The sequence below is a fragment of the Homo sapiens genome, chromosome X, assembly GCF_000001405.40.
Source record: "Homo sapiens chromosome X, GRCh38.p14 Primary Assembly".
NCBI classification, from domain to species: domain Eukaryota; kingdom Metazoa; phylum Chordata; class Mammalia; order Primates; family Hominidae; genus Homo; species Homo sapiens.
In genome coordinates this window covers 51,883,037-51,900,359 of record NC_000023.11, presented here as the reverse complement: position 1 = coordinate 51,900,359, position 17,323 = coordinate 51,883,037, and the positions used below count along the sequence as shown (strand labels likewise).

At 44.5% G+C, this 17,323-nt stretch overlaps 1 protein-coding gene across 6 annotated transcripts in view, besides 4 other annotated features; it reads right to left on the bottom strand.

The window, feature by feature from the left end:
- MAGED1 (MAGE family member D1) overlaps positions 1-17,323 on the bottom strand; it is a 99,279-nt gene that overhangs the window by 1,995 nt on the left and 79,961 nt on the right. For 2 of the 6 annotated variants that reach the window (XM_047442676.1, XM_047442677.1), the window contains 11 exons: positions 15,305-15,378; positions 6,011-6,091; positions 4,600-5,307; positions 3,283-3,951; positions 3,089-3,152; positions 2,734-2,813; positions 2,474-2,565; positions 2,167-2,246; positions 2,033-2,075; positions 1,717-1,779; positions 64-178 (listed from right to left, as the gene is read on the bottom strand). In XM_047442676.1, coding sequence (XP_047298632.1) covers positions 64-178; positions 1,717-1,779; positions 2,033-2,075; positions 2,167-2,246; positions 2,474-2,565; positions 2,734-2,813; positions 3,089-3,152; positions 3,283-3,951; positions 4,600-5,307; positions 6,011-6,055 — 1,959 coding nt within the window. In that variant the 5' untranslated portion in view covers positions 6,056-6,091; positions 15,305-15,378. Of the gene's footprint in view, positions 1-63; positions 179-1,716; positions 1,780-2,032; positions 2,076-2,166; positions 2,247-2,473; positions 2,566-2,733; positions 2,814-3,088; positions 3,153-3,282; positions 3,952-4,599; positions 5,308-5,565; positions 5,734-6,010; positions 6,092-6,604; positions 6,738-15,304; positions 15,379-17,323 lie in introns of those variants that run through there. The other 4 variants (XM_011530835.3, NM_001005332.2, NM_001005333.2 and 1 more) reach the window with 3 other exon arrangements.
- Positions 5,961-6,010: an enhancer, noted in NCBI's record as "active region_29642". NCBI's record gives its function as "activates an Ori minimal core promoter by ATAC-STARR-seq in GM12878 lymphoblastoid cells {active_cell/tissue: GM12878}" and the evidence as "EXISTENCE:reporter gene assay evidence [ECO:0000049][PMID:35858748]".
- Positions 6,231-6,280: an enhancer, noted in NCBI's record as "active region_29641". NCBI's record gives its function as "activates an Ori minimal core promoter by ATAC-STARR-seq in GM12878 lymphoblastoid cells {active_cell/tissue: GM12878}" and the evidence as "EXISTENCE:reporter gene assay evidence [ECO:0000049][PMID:35858748]".
- Positions 6,593-6,682: an enhancer, noted in NCBI's record as "active region_29640". NCBI's record gives its function as "activates an Ori minimal core promoter by ATAC-STARR-seq in GM12878 lymphoblastoid cells {active_cell/tissue: GM12878}" and the evidence as "EXISTENCE:reporter gene assay evidence [ECO:0000049][PMID:35858748]".
- Positions 7,323-7,442: an enhancer, noted in NCBI's record as "active region_29639". NCBI's record gives its function as "activates an Ori minimal core promoter by ATAC-STARR-seq in GM12878 lymphoblastoid cells {active_cell/tissue: GM12878}" and the evidence as "EXISTENCE:reporter gene assay evidence [ECO:0000049][PMID:35858748]".

The following is a 17,323-nucleotide window of genomic DNA, read 5'->3' as shown; positions in this document are numbered from 1 at the left end:
CCTTTCCCAGCCAGCTATACTTCATCCCTTGACCTATCAATGCTGGAACAGTTCCTCCATTACCTCTGCAATGAATCTCAGCACTTTCATCTTGCTAGTCTCATGGTAGGAACGGAGGCCCCAGAGGAACTCATACTCCGGGGGGTTGCTGTTGGGCACTCGTCTGTAGTCCAGGTATCTGAAAGAGCAAAACAGTCTTTGTGTCTACCTACCCAGGCAGAATGGTAGTCCACTAATGAAAAATAATCTTACATTTTTTAACAGATTTCAGATAGCAACTCCCCCTTGGGCTCATTCCTGAACACCATCAGGGTATTTACCCCTTAATCATCAAGCCTTAAATTCCTGCACTAGAACGCTAAGCACTCACTAGAGATGCAGGCGAGGCTTGTATAGGGTCACAGAAAGGACAACATTTCCTTTCACTCCTTCTGCCTCAGCTCTAGCTCCAGATTCTTGTAATCTTGTCAGTGAGCCACAGAGGTCCATTGAAATGAGTACAATGCAGTGCAAAAGTGTCAGCCTGGCCCAGCCTTGGGAATGTCTACTGTGGGGATGGTGGATGGGCTTCACTTGCAAGACAACTGCTTAGAAAAGTAGAAAAATTAGAAAAATTCTGGCCGGGTGTGGTGGCTCACACCTGTAATCCCAGCACTTTGGGAGGCAGAGGTGGGTGGATTGCTTCAGGTCAGGAGTTTGAGACCAGCCTGGCCAACGTGGTGAAGCCCCATCTCTACTAAAAATACAAAAACAGCCGGGCACGGTGGCACGCACCTGAAGTTCCAGTTACTCGGGAGGCTGAGGCACAAGAATTGCTTGAACCTGGGAGGTGGAAGTTCAAGCGAGCCAAGATTGCACCACTGCACTCCAGCATGGGCAACAGAGTGAGACTCAGTCTCGAAAAAAACAAACAAAAGAATTCGCCCGGTACGGTCGCTCACGCCTGTAATCTCAGCACTTCTGGAGGCCAAGGCAGGCAGATCACCTGAAGTCGGGAGTTTGAGACCAGCCTAACATGGAGAAACACCGTCTCTACTAAGAAGACAAAATTAGGTGGGCGTGGTGGCACATGCCTGTAATCCCAGCTACTCAAGAGGCTGAGGCAGGAGAATAGCTTGAACCCAGGAGGCAGAGGTTGCGGTGAGCCGAGATCACGCCATTGCACTCCAGCCTGGGCAACAAGAGCGAAACTCCGTCTCAAAAAATAAAAAAATAAAAAATAAAGAATTTAACCATGAGGAGTATATGCAATAAATACTCCTGAGGACATAAGTGTTTCTGTATGCACAGAAACACATATGCACAAGTATAGTGTAAGAAACGAGCTTGAGAAGGGCTTTCTTTTATTTTTTTTGAGACAGGGTCTCACTCTGTTGCCCAGGTTGGAGTGCAGTGGCATGATCACAGCTCACTGCAGCCTCAACTTCCTGGGCTCAGATGATTCTCCCCTACCTCAGCCTCCCAAGTAGCTGGGACTACAGGTGCATGTCACCACGCCTGGCTAATTTTTGTATTTTTTTGTAGAGATGGGGTTTCGTTATGTTGCCCAGGCTGGTCTTGAACTCCTGGGCTCAAGCGATCTGCCCACCTGAGCCTCCCAAAGTACTGGGATTACAGGCATGAGCCATTGTATCCAGCCAGGAAGGGCTTTCTAAAGCTGACCAGCACACAGGCAGAATCATAAGAAGCAGGAAAAGCCCCTTAGGCATCACTTACTTCTGCTTTACAAACTCATAGGTGAGAAGTTTCCTTAGATCTCCAAGGAGGGGATGTCTCACCCTGAAGGTAAAAAAAGGAAACCCACAATCAGAGGCTATTACCATGCCCAAAGAGCTTTCCAGAACAGAGGTCAGAGATGAGAAAAGAGGCAGAGAGTTCAGAACTGTTTCCCCATCCACCCAGGTCACATCTTTGGGCTCTGAACATCCCCAAACCAAACCCTCCAGACCCCCAGGTTAATGCAATCCTGGGACCATCCACTGTTGCCAAAGGATGGCACAAACAGGCAAGAGATGAGAGAGCCCAATCATACCCAGGACGCAGTCCCATCTTGCGTAGTGCCTCCCAGAGGACAGCTGCAATGGGAGGCAAGGGGAGACAAGGGACGGAAAATAAGCATGGAAATCAGGCTGTGGCCAACCCCCAGCTGCAGGTCCAGCCACTCACCCTCACTGGCACGGTTGCCATTCATGAAGATGACACCCAGAATCACCAAGAGGAGACCGAGCTTGGGTGTGTCTTTGGTCCTAAGGGAATATAGAAAGAATATATTTTCAGTAGCCATTTGCATGAGAGACCCCAACCAGCTTGCCCATCTAGCCTCCCCAATATTCCTCAGCTAGGGGAGAATTATACCCCAGCTCTGCCCATGACCTGCTATGTGACCCTGAACCCTGGACCCTGATCTACGTGAAACTCCTAGAAAAAAAGCACCACTGAGAAAGGCCATGTTCCACCTTCTTTCCCATCTTACGTTCCCAGTATGCCAGCCAGGGACTCGGGGGTACTGATGAGAATATACAGGTGTTCTTCTTTGTCAATTTCTTTCAGTTGAATCCCAAATTTCTACAGGGGCAAGAAAACAGACTATGAAATTACAACATCTAGCATAAGCTACCCATAGGCAGACACTCATCTCCCTGAGACTTGCCCTAAACTCCCAGTAGGAACCCCATGAATCTTTGAAATCAAGACTTTCCCCATTATTCCTGTACCCCAGGGCTGCCTTCTCACCTTCTCTAGGACAAAGCATGCACGTTCAATGATTTCTGGATAAACATCAGTGTATTCACGGATGATATCTCTCAGCATTTCTGTAGGAGAGAGGAGGGAGCCATCTGAGCCGAGCGGGGGCCACAGAGCAGCAGTCCCTTTGCCAGCCCTGCTGGGGGTAGCACAGTCAAGGTCCTCAAGGGTGGAAAGAGCCAACCATGGAAAGGAGGGGATAGAAGGGGAAGGGTCATACAAGCAGAAGAATGCCGACAGAGCATGGAGTGAAGGGAAGGGCAGAGCTACAAGCAGAAGAATGCTGACAGAGCATGGAGTGAAGGGAAGGGCAGAGCTTGGGGAGGGGACACTGGATGCATACCTGAGCGCTTGATGGGCACCTTTGTGTAGTCCTTAAGCATCAAGTACTTGACCAACTTATTTGCCTGGGAGGGAAAAAGGAAATCATTAAACTTATAAAATATTTACAAAAAAACTTGGTTGAATTACAGATGAGAGGATGACAAAGAAAAGAGCAAGAGAGGGGAAAAGTGACTGGGGAGTTACAGCTCTTACTCTTTCCTGAAGAAGGGCCACATCTCGGGGCTGTGCAGCACCTGGGTTCTGTGAGGCACGCGAGTTGGGAGAAGGGCGCAGGTTAGGCGAGGGGCGCAGGTTCTGCCAGTCAGGTGGAATTGGCCAATCAGCGGGGATCCAGTCAGGTGGTAGTGGCCAGTCAGTGGGAAGTGGCCAATCAGGTGGCAGTGGCCAGTCGGGTGGTAGCGGCCAGTCAGGAGGACCTTGCCAGTCTGGAGGACCCTGCCAGCCCGGTGGGGTCTGCCATCCAGGTGGAGTCTGCCATCCAGGTGGATTCTGCCAGGCCAGTGGATTCGGCCAGACAACAGGGCCGGGCCAGACAATGGGGTTTGGCCAGATCACTGGGTTCTGCCAGATTACTGGGTTTGGCCAAATCACTGGGTTCTGCCAAGCGACTGGGTTCTGCCAGGCTGGTGGGGTCTGCCTAGCTGGAGGGCTCTGACGTGCTGGTGGGGTCTGCCTGGCTGTCTGGTTTTGCCAGCCTGAGGGGTTCTGCCAAGCCAATGGCGTCTGCCAGAGCACATTGGGGGGTGCGCCAGGTGGGTTCTGAGTGGTCACTGGAACTGGTGCAGACCTCCAGGTCCCTGCAGCCAGTGGGGCCCGCCTCTGATCCCCACTGCTGTTCTCTTCAACATTCAAGTTATTAATCTGCATCATCAGAGAGAAGTTCAGAATCACCAGTGGGTTCTGTGTCCTCACCTTATCTATTCCAGGAATGCCCTCTAAACCCTCACCTGTAGTGACAGCCTGACCCACTAGCCATTGGTCACCCTGAGTCCTGGGTTTGTCTTTCACTGTCTTCCAGGCAGGAGTTTCATCTCCGAGCCAGGCCAGGAGCAACCCAAAGATGGGGCCTGAGGCTTCTCCTCTTCCTATGTCCACCACTGGTTCTGCCTGTACCACCCTGAACAAATCACTCAAGTCACTTCACCTCTCTGGCACTTAATTTCCTTCTTTGTAAAATTGGCACTATGATCCCTACCTGGTAGGAGGTGCCTTTAAGGTTTAATGAGACAACCTGTGTGAATGTGCCTAGCTCAAGGCTTAACACATGGTGGTTACTAACATAACAAAATGTAAACTGAATTACATACAGGTTGTATATATTATTTGTGTCCATGTATTATCTCCCCATCAGTTTGTGAACATCCGGAGGACAGGAATAAACATTCTCTTCAAATGCCCTATAGCCTAGCTGAATACAGTTACATACATTGTTTTGTTTAGAACAAATGAACACCCTCAGAGAAGAAAGGAGACAGCCCCAAAGCAAAATGAAGTTAGCAGAGATCTCACCTTGCGGGTCCTCTTGCCCCGAATTATTGTCCGGGACTCCAGATTCTGAGCCTGGGAACCATCTGCTGATGTCTGTGCAGTTGCACCGTCAGGTTCAGAGATACCTGGGTCGGTCTCTATGTCAGCCTGGGAAGTGGCCATTTTGGCCTGATTTACATTCTGGGTCTGGGTATCAGCTGTTGGGGCCTTAGTGGTATCATTCCAAGCCTTGAAAGGGGTCTTAGGCCTGCTGTTGGCCAGGTCATTGGCATTGAGAGACTGAGAGAAATTGTAGGTGGCATTTGGGCCCACTTTAGTAGTGGCATTCTGGGCCTTGAAGGCCATCTCAGACTTGTTAGCAGCTAACTCACCAGTGGTTGCTGCCTGGGAAAAATCATAGGCAGCATTTGGACCCTTTGGGGTAGCATTTTGGGACTTAAAGGCTGCCTTGGGCTGCGTGTTGGGCACATCCTTGGCATTATGAGCCTGAGAGAAATCATAGACACCATTTGGGCCTTTTGTGGTGGCATTCTGGACTTTAAAGGCTGACTTAGGCCTAGCGGCAGCTGCTGAAACCTGAATGTCAGCCATCTCATTGGCAGTTGGGGGCTGTGAACTCTGGGGACTAGCAGCTGCGGTGGCCTGGTTAGTAGGTGGAGCCTCTGAGATCTGGATGGCCTCCATCAAGGTCTGCATAAGCAAGGCGCTGTCTTCTACGGAGGCCTCAGCCTGCAAACACAGGGGGGAAAAAATTAAATCTCTGGGCCTCTGAGGCAGGAGGTGGGGTGGGAATAGGGAGCCCGGGTGGCAGCGCAGCAGCGGAGCTGCAGGCGGGCGGTGGGTGCAAAAACAGGGGGGCTGAGGCAGAGATCTAGGGGGCCCGCGAGGGGCGATGGGGGACCAGGCGGGTACTAAACATGTGGCAGGGGTGAAGTAGGGCAAGGGCAAAATGAGGGGTGGGGCGGTATGCGGAAAGTGGGCACGAACAGGAGCCGGGGACGCTCCAAGAGGCGTGCAGTAGCAGCTCAGGACGGCAGGCGGATCGCGGAGTTGAGAATAAGGGGGGTCGCACAGAGTGGGGAATGCAGAAAGAGGGAGGGTGGAGGCAGGAGGCTGGGGGAGGGGGTGACAGACTGCTCTACAAGCGTCAGGATTCTGGAAAAAAAAAAAAATGGTTCCTTACCCACCCCGCATTCTCTGGGCAGATTGCCCTGACTACTAACAGGGTCTCCCCTCTCTCTGAGCAGGGACTGATGGCTGAAAAGAGACGCCCCTCCCCCCCTTCGATAAACGATGGGAATTCGAAAAGCCCACGGAGTCTAGTCACTAAATAGGGTCAAACCGGATCCCGGCGTTTGGGAGACCAAAGAGGCCCGCGGGGAGGGGTGACTGTCGGCTGGGGAAATGGTGGGGTGGGGAGTGGAGATCTCACCTGGAAGCCGAGGAGGCCCGCACCACAGTCCATTTTCTGAGCCATGGCTCCTGTCCCTCTGGCAAGAGCGGAGCCTGGGGGCTGTGGGAGAGGGGCAGGGCGTTATACTACAGAGGGCAAATACGAAGGACCTAATTGGGAGGGGGGTGACTGTGGTCTGACTGTGCGGGCGGATAAGGTGAATGTGAGGAGGAACGGATCGGAGCGGTAAAAGTGAATGGGCGTCCAGATGGAGGTTCTGAACCCCGAGAAGCTACTGACAGGGCGAAGCTTCAAATGGGGATCGGGAAGCAGATGAGTTCTGAATTCGGAGCGGGGGTGCGGTTGGGTTGGGATTCGCATTTGGGAAGTTGCATGGAGGTTTTGAGTCAGGAGGAATCATCTAACAGTACAGATCGAGGTCAAGGAATCTGAGGATTTCGAACGATGGGAGGGATCGGACAGGGGTTTTGAATCAGGAAGGATCGGGAGGGGCATTGAATTGGGGTTTGGGGGGTGGAAGGGGATTCAGAATCCAGGGTGAAGGGATCGGGATAAAAAAAAATGGGGGCCCGCACCAGGGGGCAGATGCCCAGTCTGGGGGCTAATTCTCACCTTGCCTCAGGCCCCAACCCCAACCCCCTCGCTGCCTCCCTTCTTCACGACTCAGAGGATCGGGATTGCTGGGCTCGGCTCTCAGCAGCCGCACTCTCTCCTTGTCCAGGAGAAAATGCCAGCGCGGCAGCTTGGGCGACCCCGCCTCTTCGCCTAATATACCACCCACCGCCTCAGGACGTTACGCGCATGCGCAAACACTGAAGAGCCAAAGTCAGTCCCGCCTGCTTTCCCAACAAAAGCTTCGTCCTGGAGACCATGATGCGCATGTGCGCTGGAAGGCGGTCCCGCCCCCTTTGCCAACACACCACCCCACCACCAACCAGGTCGACACTATACAACAGCACCTCCCCTTCCTCTACGCCCCCTCCCCCACAGATGCGCTGTGCCTCTTGGTCCCACCCCTTGCCCCACACACCGGCCCCCTACCTTTTCCGCAATGCGTCTCTATTCCGTCCCTCCCCTATTCAAGGCCCCTCCTGTCAGGCCGGCTTGCATCTCCACCCCCTTGTCCAGCATGCTTAGGTCTCTGTTTGGGGTCTCTAATTGCAACAAGTGTTAGACCTCTGCTGAGGAAACGGAATGGCCTGAGAGGATACACTATTGGAGCTAACAAAGTAGTAGTAGTAAGTCTGTGGCTGCCACGTGACTCCATGATTTCTCCCTCACCCCCTGCCCGCCCCCACAAGCTCCCAGACGCAGAAAGAACGTTAGTTTCTTCCCTTTCTTTCTGCAGCTCCGGTGATGGACTCATTTTGTGTGTGTTGGGGGAGGAAAGGAGGGAAGGGCACAGCTTGTACATCACAGCAGGATTTGTGCTGGGGCTTGTCTTCCTGTCACAGCAGCCCTGGGAAGTGGATGTCAGCACCCCTATTTTGCAGATCAGGAAGCTGAGGCACAGATACATTGCATGAACTAGACAAGGCCACAGAGCCAGGAAACAAAATGCAAAATTTGGGTCTGGGTCTTCCTGACTCCAAAGCCCACATTCTGCTCATGCTGGCCTGGGGACTAAGGGTACCCCTCCCTCCTCCATTTGAGCAACAGACCACGGCACCCCATTTGTACCAAACAAGCAAAGTTTGTGTTCTAGGAGGCCCAAGCTCATGCTCTGCATTCAGGAGGACACAAGCAGAGGCCCCCACCCTCCCCCTGCCCTGTGTGGGTCCATCCAGGCGTGGGAATTGCTCCTTGGGGTCCACTCTGTGCTCAGAACATCAGGCCTCTTCCTTATCAGGGATACAATCACACTGTCCCTGAGGCCTTCCTGGTGCCCACTGGAGCAGCCAGGACAATCAGACCTGTGTGTCTGAGCCATGGCAAGCCCTGGTTCCTTTCAGGGCTGGGGCCTGGGGCAGCTGTGGTTTTATGGAGAGAAACTGGGCTGGGCTTCAGAATTCCAGGAATGGAGTGCCCAGCCTGTCTGTCTCGAGCTGTGTGAGCCCGCACGGGTCACTCAATTCTCTGGGCCTGGTTTCTCAATGTGCAAAGTGGAATGCACAGCAAGTGGGTCCTACCCAAGGACACACACGCTGCTATGCTTCCAGGATAACTGGAGAAACTCAAAAAGGCAGAAAATTAAATACAGATGTGAGGTGACTCAAATTAAACTGGTACAGTTCCAAAATTCAAGACAGATCTTTGTGCAGTTCACATTTGTTCTGGCATCAACTCATGCCAGAAGCCTGAACATGAAAGGAAGCTAATGCTAGGAAGGACTGCAGCATTTGGTCCCCAAGGGCCAACATCAGTTCTGCCTGGCTGGATGACTTTCCTCATCTGTTGCATAGCAACCTCCTCTGTCAGCTGCCTGTTTTTCCTCAGCACTTCCTCTGTAAAGTGTCTGCAGTGAGACGTGATCAGACTCAGGAAAGGAGGTCAGAAACACCATTTTCTATGCTATCTGTTTCCATATCTGTATCTTCGGTCATGACTTGGCCTATGAATTCTAGATCCATAGTAACTACCTACCTCACTTCTCCAAATGGATATCTCTCAGTATTCTCTAAATTAACAGGTCCCAAACCGATTCCTTCATACGCCTCCTCCTTCCCACCAACACAGTGTTTCTCCTCTAGTTATGCCTTTCTCCCCCATTTAGAGTGTAAACCTCTTAGGGAGACAGATTTTTGTTTTATTCATTGTTGTTTCCCCAGCACCTAGAACCATGCCTGGCACATTTTTATATCCTCAATAAATATTTGTTAAATGAATGAATCGCACTCTCCATCCCATTGCTAAAGCAAGAAACCTGAGAGGCAATTTTTCCTGTGATCAATTCACTTATTTTTCCTCATTATACAAATAATGCACACTCATCACTATACATTCAAACACTGCCTAAATATTTTAGAAATTAAATAAACATCACTAAATCTCATCACCTTGGACAATTGCTTAGATTTGGTGCTACCTTTTCATACTTTACACACATATATGTTGTTACATAAATGATGTGTTATATATGCCAGACCTTAAATTGCATTCTTTTCCTTACTGCTTCCCACTTCCTTTCAATTCTACCTTCACCTGCCAAACACTTGTTTTTAACACCATTTGATATCCTTCCATACTCAAAAGTTGTTTTTTATTTTTACAAATTTAAGATTACATGAACTTTTATGTGTCTGAATTATCTTATTTGACAACAGTCTACCTGTGATTCGTTCTTTTAAATGACTGCATAATATTCCATGGTAAGAATGTACCACAATGTATTTAACCATTCCCCCATGGATGGAATCCATTTTAGTTTCAGGATTTTTGTGGGGAGCGTGGCAATACAACAACATTGCAATAAAAATACTTGTACATGTATTCTTATACTTTAATAATTAATGTTTGTCTTTATTTCCGTGACACCAGAAGCCCAGGAGTAAGACTGACATACTCTACAAGACTTTTCCTTTTTTTTTTTTTTTTTGCCAATCTTATGTGTATTTATTGGTATCTCCTTATGGTTTTAATTTATATTTCTGATAAGCAATGTGGTAGAACACATTTTTATACATTAATGAACATATTAGATTTATTTTGTAATATGCTTGTATATTTTACCTGTTTTTCATTTGGGTTGTCTGTCTTACTGACTTTTAGGAGTTCTTTATATAGCGTTATAGATCCTTACTGAAAACCCTTGGGGCCAGATGTATTTCGATTTTTAACATTTTAGTAAGGTCATATATATTCTTACTTAACAGTTCCAAGTGCAAAAGCCACAAAGGCCAGATATTCACTTCTTCACATGCCCTTGGCAGCTAAGAGAATGTGATCTAGGATTTACCAGTGTGGCAAGCTCCTGAAGACCATCCTCAGATTCAATGATTTGCTAGAAGGATTCGGAGAACTCAGAAAAAGTGTTATGGCTATTGTTTATTACAGTGAAAGGATACAGATTAAAATCAGCAAAAGTAAAAAGTGCATAGGGAAAAATTCAGGAGAGACCAGGCACGACTTTTCAGTTGTACTCTCCCAATGGAGTTGTATGGCCAGTGCTTAATTCCCCCAACAATGATGTGTGAAAACATGTATGAAATACTGTCAACCAGGGAAGTTCACCCAAGCCTTGGTGCCCAGAGTTGTTTTTGGGGTTCAGTCAGATAGGCATGGAGCACCTGTGTGGTTGACCTTAGTTATTCAGTCTCTAGTCCATGCAGAGGTTAAACTAGTATCTCTCAGCCCAAGGCTCACACCACAAATCACACTGTTAGCACAAACTATCCAGTGTGGGCCAAGGCCACAGTAAACAAAGACACTCTGATCAGGCAGGATACTTCCAAGGGCTTACAGATTATCTCCCAAGAGCTGGTCAAGAGCCAAAGCATTCTTTGCAAAAGACCTTTTTTTGGAAAGCATAGGGTTTGAACATTGCAGACCTGCTGAGTACAACCCTTTCACTGCAGTTACAACTTAGACCTAACACTTTGTTTCAAAGGAGTGATTCAAATATGCAGTGATGGAATTCACCACCATAGTTGTGGTGGTGGGAGCAGCAGCCACAAGAAAATCCAGTTTCTAGGGGCAGCATTAGTGGCAGGGCTAACATCCGGTGTCCACTGTTCAGTAGCGGCAGCAATGGTATCCAACCAGCTAATACATATGGCTTTTTTTTTTTTTTTTTTTTTTTTTGAGACAGAGTCTCACTCTTTCACTCAGGCTGGAGTGCAGTGGCATGATCTCAGCTCACTACAACCTCCACCTCCCAGGTTCAAGTGATTCTCCTGCTAGAGCCTCCCGAGTAACTGGGATTACAGGCACCCACCACCACGCCCGGATAATTTTTCTATTTTCAGGAGAGATGGGGTTTCACCATGTTGGCCAGGCTGGTGTAGAACTCCTGACCTCAGGTGATCCACCCACCTCAGCCTCCCAAAGTGTTAGGATTACAGGCATGAGCCACCATGCCCGGCCCTATGACATGATTTTTGAAATATAACTGATGCCCTACTGCTTTTAGGTAATATTTTATTAATTCTGCTTTTAAAAAACTTTTTAAACTTTTTATTTTGAAATAATTACAGATACACAGGGAATTGCGAGGATAGTACAGTGAGGTTCTATGTACCCTTTATCTGCTTCCCCAATGGTTACATCTGTGTAACTGCAGTACAAAATCAAAACCAAGACACTGACATTGGTACAATATGTGTATATAGTTCTATATCACCTTATCACATGTGGAAGTCTCTACAAACACCACAGCAATCAAGACACAGAACTATTTCATCACCACAAAGATTTCCCTCTTACTACCCCATTATAGTCACAACCAACCCTCCTCCACCGCCCCCATCCCTAACCCCTGGCAGCCACTAATGTGTTCTCCATCTCTATAATTTTATCATTTCAAGAGGTCATGAAAATGTAATCATACAATATGTCACATTTTGAGATTGGCTTTTTTCACACTCAGCATAATGCCTGTGAGATGCATCCCAGTTGTCTTGTGTATCAGAGTTTCTTGTTTTATTGTTGAGTACTATTACATGGTATAGAGGTGCTACAACAGTTGGTTTAACCATTCACCCACTGAAAGACATCTGGGTCATTTCCAGTTTTGGGCTACTGTGAATGAAGCTGCTACACACATTTGTGTACAAGTATCTGTGTGAACCTAAGTTCCCAATTCTCTGGGATAAGTACCCAAGAGTGCAATTGTTGGGGTATATAGTAAGTGCATGTTAGTTTTACAAGAAATTACCAAACTTTCCTAGAGTGATCATACCATTTGACATTCCCACCAGCTATGTGTGAAGGATACAGTTTCTCCAAATCCTTGCTAGCATCTGCTGGTGTCAGTATATTTTGGCCATAGGTGTGTAGTAATATCTTACTGTGGTTTTAATTTGCATTTCCCTAATGGCTAATGATGTTGAACATCTTTACATGTGCTTTTCTGCCATCCATATATCCTCTTTGATTAAATGCCTCTTCATGCCTTTTACCTATTTTTTAATTAAAAAAATTTTGTGGGTACATAGTAGGTATATATATTCATGGGGTACATGAGACGTTTTGATACAGGAATGCAATGTAAAATAAGCACATCACTGAGAATCCATCCCCTCAAGCATTTATCCTTTGAGTTACAAACAACCCAATTACACTATGTTACTTTAAAATGTACAATTAACTATAGTCACCCTATTGTGCTATCAAGTAGTAGGTCTTATCCATTGTTTCTAAGTATTTTTTGTACCCATTAACCATCCCCACCTCCTTCCCAGCCCCCATTACCCTTAATTGCATTGTTTTCTTTCTTTTCTCTTTTACTGTTGAATATTGAGAGTTCATGTATTTTATGTATGAGTCTTTTGTCAGATATATGGTTTGCAAATACTTTCTCCCAGATTGCAGAGACTTTTGCAGGGGAAATTTTGAAGAAATTCAATTTATTGGTTTTTTTTTTTCCTTTTATGGATTGTGGGTTTTATTTCATTTCTAAGAACTCTTCAACAAGCCCTAGTACCTCACAATTTTCTCCTACAATATCTTCTAAAAGTTTTATGGTTTTAATTTTTACATTGATGTCTGTCATCCATTTGAGATTAAGTTTTAATGAGGTGTGAAGTTTAAGCTGAAGTTCATTTGGCAGCGGGGAGGGGGCAGGGGGGCGGGTGTCAGAGCTATGGATATCCAGTCAGGCCAGTACAGGGTGATTAAAGGGTGATCCTTCTTCCTTTGAATTGTTTTTGTACCTTTGTCGAAAATCAGCTGGCATATTTGTGAGGCAATTTCTGAGTTCTCTGTTCTATTCTATTTTCTGTGTCTGTTCATCTATCAAATCCTACAGTCTTGATTATAATAGTCAGTAGTCTCAAATTTGAATAGAATGATTTCTCCCACTTTATCTTTCTTTTTCAAAATTATTTTATGTATTATTCTGGTTCTTTTGTCTTTCCATATATTTTGGGATAATCTTATTTATAGCTACAAAACATCTTGCAGGGATTTTGATAGGAACTGCACTTAAACTGTGTATCAATTTAGGGAAAATTAATATCATTTTTTACATTGATTCTTACAATCCATGAATGTGACGATATGTGCTTCTCCATTTATTTTGCTCTTCTTTAATTTCTTCACTAACGTTGTAGTTTTTAGTATAGAAATATTGCATATGTTTTGTCAATTTACACGTATTTCACCTTTTTTTTTTTTTTTTGAGTCATTGTATTCTCTTTTTTTTCTTCTTTGTTTTGAGACAGGGCCTTGTTCTGTTGCTGAGGCTGGAGTGCAATGGTGCGATCATGGCTTACTGCAGCCTTCAACTCTTGGGCTCAAGCGATCCTCCCACTTCAGCCTCCCAAGTAGCTGGGACCACAGGTGCGTGACACCATGCCCAGTTAATTATTTGAATTTTTGTAGAGATGTGGTCTCCCTATGTTGCCTAGGCTGGTTTCGAACTCCTGAGCTGAAGTGATTGCTCCCGCCTCAGCCTCCCAAAGTGCTGGGATTACAAGTGTGAGCCACTGTGCCCAGCCCAGTATTCTATTTTTAATTTCCACGTGCTCATTGCTAGGATATAGAAATAAAATTGATATTGGTAAGTTGACCTTGTACCCTGTGACCTGCTAAACTCACTTATTAGTTCTAGGAGATTTTTTCTTTTTTTTTGTAGATTTTGGGAATTTCTACATATACTATCATGACATCTGGAAATAGTGAGTTTTATTTCTTCCTTTCTGATCTGTATTGCTTTTCTTTCTTTACTGAGCTGGCTAGAATTTCCATTATTATTTTGCTTTTTGTTGTGCTTTGTTTTTTAAGAAGCATGCTTAGATTTACCTTTAATTTTTAATTTTTATGGATACATATTTGTTGTATATATTCATGGGTTACATGTGATACTTTGATACATGTATATGATGTATAATGATCTCATCAGGGTATGATCTTGTATAATGATCTCATCAGGGTAACTGAGATATCCATCACCTCAAACATTTATCATTTCTTTGTATTGGGAACGTTCCAAATCCACTCCCCTAGTTATTTTGAAACATACAATAAATGATTGTTAACTATAGTCACTGTATTGTGCTACTGACTACTAAGTCTTATTCCTACTATCTAACTGTATTTTTGTACCCCTTAAACAACCCCTCTTTAAGCTCCCCACCCCCCACCCTTCTCAGCCTCTGGTAATCATCACTCTACTCTCTACTTCCATGAAATCAAATTTTCCTTAGCTCCTGCATATAAGTGAGAATATGTAATATTTGTCTTTCTGTGTCTAGCTTATTTCACTTAATATAATGTCCTCCAGTTCCATCCATGTTGCTGCAAATGACAGGCTCTCCTTATTTTTATGGCTGAATAATATTTCATTGTGCATATATACCATATTTTCTTTATCCATTCATCCACTGATGGACCCTTAGGTTGATTCCCTATCTCGGCATTGTGAATAGTGCTACAATAAACACAAGAATCCAGTTATCTCTTTGATATATTGATTTTTCTTTCTTTTGGACCTATCTCTCACCATATACAAAAATCAAGTCAGAATGGGTTAAAGACTTAAATATAAGACCTATAACTATTAAAGTACTGGAAGAAAACATTAGGGAAGTGCCCCGGGATTGGTTTGGGCAAAGATTTTTTTAGTAAGACCTCAAAAGCACCTCAAACAAAGAAAAAATGAACAAATGGGATCACATCAAGCTAAAAAGCTTCTGCACAGCAAAGGAAACAATCAACAAAGTGAAGAGAAAACCTACAGGATGGGAGAAAATATTTGCAAACTATTCAACTGACAAGGAATTTAATAACCAGAATATATAAGGAACTCCAATAACTCAATAGAAACACACACACACATACACACTCCGCAAATACTCCAATTTAAAAATGGGTAAATGACCTGAATAGATAATTCTCAAAAGGCATACAAATGACCAAGGGAATATATTTTTAAAATGCTCACCATCACTAGTCATTAGAGAAATATAAATCAAAACCACAAAGAGATATAATTTCTCTCCAGTTAATAATGGCTATTACCAAAAAGACAAAAAGTAATGGATGTTGGCAAGGATGTGGAGAAAGAGGAACACTCATACATTTTTTTTGGAATGTAAATTAATACAGCCACTTTAGAAACAGTATAGAGGTTCCTCAAAAAACTAAAAACAGAACTGTCATATGATCCAGCAACCCAATACTATTTTGATAGCAGTGGTGAGTGCAAATACTTACCTTGTTCCTGATGGCAAGGAGAAATTCAGTCTCTCACCATTAAGTCTGATGCCAGGTGAAGGTTTAGTGCATATCTTAAAAAATCAAATTGAGGAAGTTACTCTCTATTAGTGGGTTGCTGACAGTTTTTAGCAAAAATGAACTGTTGGATTTTCTAAAATGCTTTTTCTTTGTCAATCAATATGATAATGGCTTTTATTCTTTAGCCTGTTGATATAATGGATTACATTGCTGGATTTATGGATGCTGAACCGTACATGGAATAAATTCCACTTGGTCATGGTGTATAACGTTTTCTACAACACTGGATTTGACTTACTAATATTCTGTTAAAGACTTTTGCGTCTATGTTCGTGAGACATATTAATGTGTAAGTTTCTTTCGTGTACTTTGGTTTCGGGATGAGGGTAAGACTGACTTCATAGAATTAATGGAAGTTGTTTCCTCTTATTTTCTGGATGAGATTGTGTAGAAATGCTGTTCATCCTTCTTTGAACAATTGTTAGAATTCTTAATTTCTTTTATAAGAACTTCCTTTGGCCATTATTTTAGGATAGGTAGGCTAGAAACAAATTCTTAGTTTTCCTTCTTCTGGAAATGTCTTGATTTACTCTTCATTACTAAAGGATATTTTATTTTCATTGGGTATTTTATTTTCATTGGGTATTTAATTCCAGGTTAATGAGTCTTTTCTTGCAGCACTTGAAAAATATTGTGGCCTCTATGGTATCTAATGAGAGAGCTTCTGTCTGTCATTGCTTTGGTATTCTCTATAGGTAAGGTGTCATTTTGCTCTGGTGGGTTTCAAGATTTTTTGTTCTGTCTTAAGCTTTCAGAAGTTTGAAAGTGGTTTCTTTGACCGTATCTTCTTGGGGGGTTGCTCAGCTTCTTGAATCACTCAATCTGTGGGATTGTCTCCCCCACCCCCAAATTTGGGACATTTTCAGCCATTGTATCTCTCAACACTTTTTCAGTACCTCTTCTCTCTCTCTTCTGTGATTACAATGACACATATTTAAATCTTTTGTAATAGTCCAACAAGTGCCTAAGGCTCTGTTTTTTGTTGTTGTTGTTTTGTTTTTCAGTATATTTTTCTCTGTCATTCAGACTGAATAATTTCTATTGTTCTATCTTCAAGTTCCCTGATTAATTCTTCTGTTATTTTTATTTTGCTGTTGAGTTCATCTACTGAGGTTTGTTTTTTAAAGTCCATGTATTAAAATTTTCAGTTTTAAAATTTCCTATTAATTTTTCTTTATATCTCTGATTTCTTTTAGAGATTTCCAATTTCTTTGCTAAGACATCCTTTTTTTCATTTGTTCTAAGCATGTTCACAATTGCTCACTGAAACATTTTTAGGACGGCTGTTTAAAAATCTTTGTCAGATGATTCTAATAACTGTGCCATCTTGATGTTGATGTGTGTTGACCGTCTTTTGTCACTCAAGTTGTGATTATTACAGTTCTCACTATGACAAGTGATTTTCAGTTGAATCCTGGATATTTTTGCATATTATGTTATGAAGATCTGGGTCTTATTTAAATCTTCTGTTTTACCACATGTAGGTGGAAGTCCAGGTTCCATACTCAGATTCCACTGATACCTGGGGTTGAGGAGCTTCCTGTCACCATGGGCTAAGTGACAGTTCCAGCTTTTACCAGTACCACTCTGCTTGGGAGAGACTGGGTGCCCAGTTACTTCTCTCCAAATGGCCTCCATTGAGACCACTGATAGACAGGTATCATTGTTACTGTTGGGTGGTGATAAAAACCTGACTCTTCATTAGGCTTCCTCTTGATACCACACCATTTGTTAGGGGAGAGGCACCTCATTATCACTCATTAGGGGTGGAAATCTAGGCTCCCCACATAGTCTCTACTAACTGAGGGGACTAGAATGTTCCCACTCCCCATTCATCTTACCACTCTATCAGGGAACTAGAGGTCTTATTACAGGCTGGCAAGGGTGGAAGTCTCTCTAGTTGGCCTTTGCTAGTAGGGGTAGAGGTATAGTCTTCTC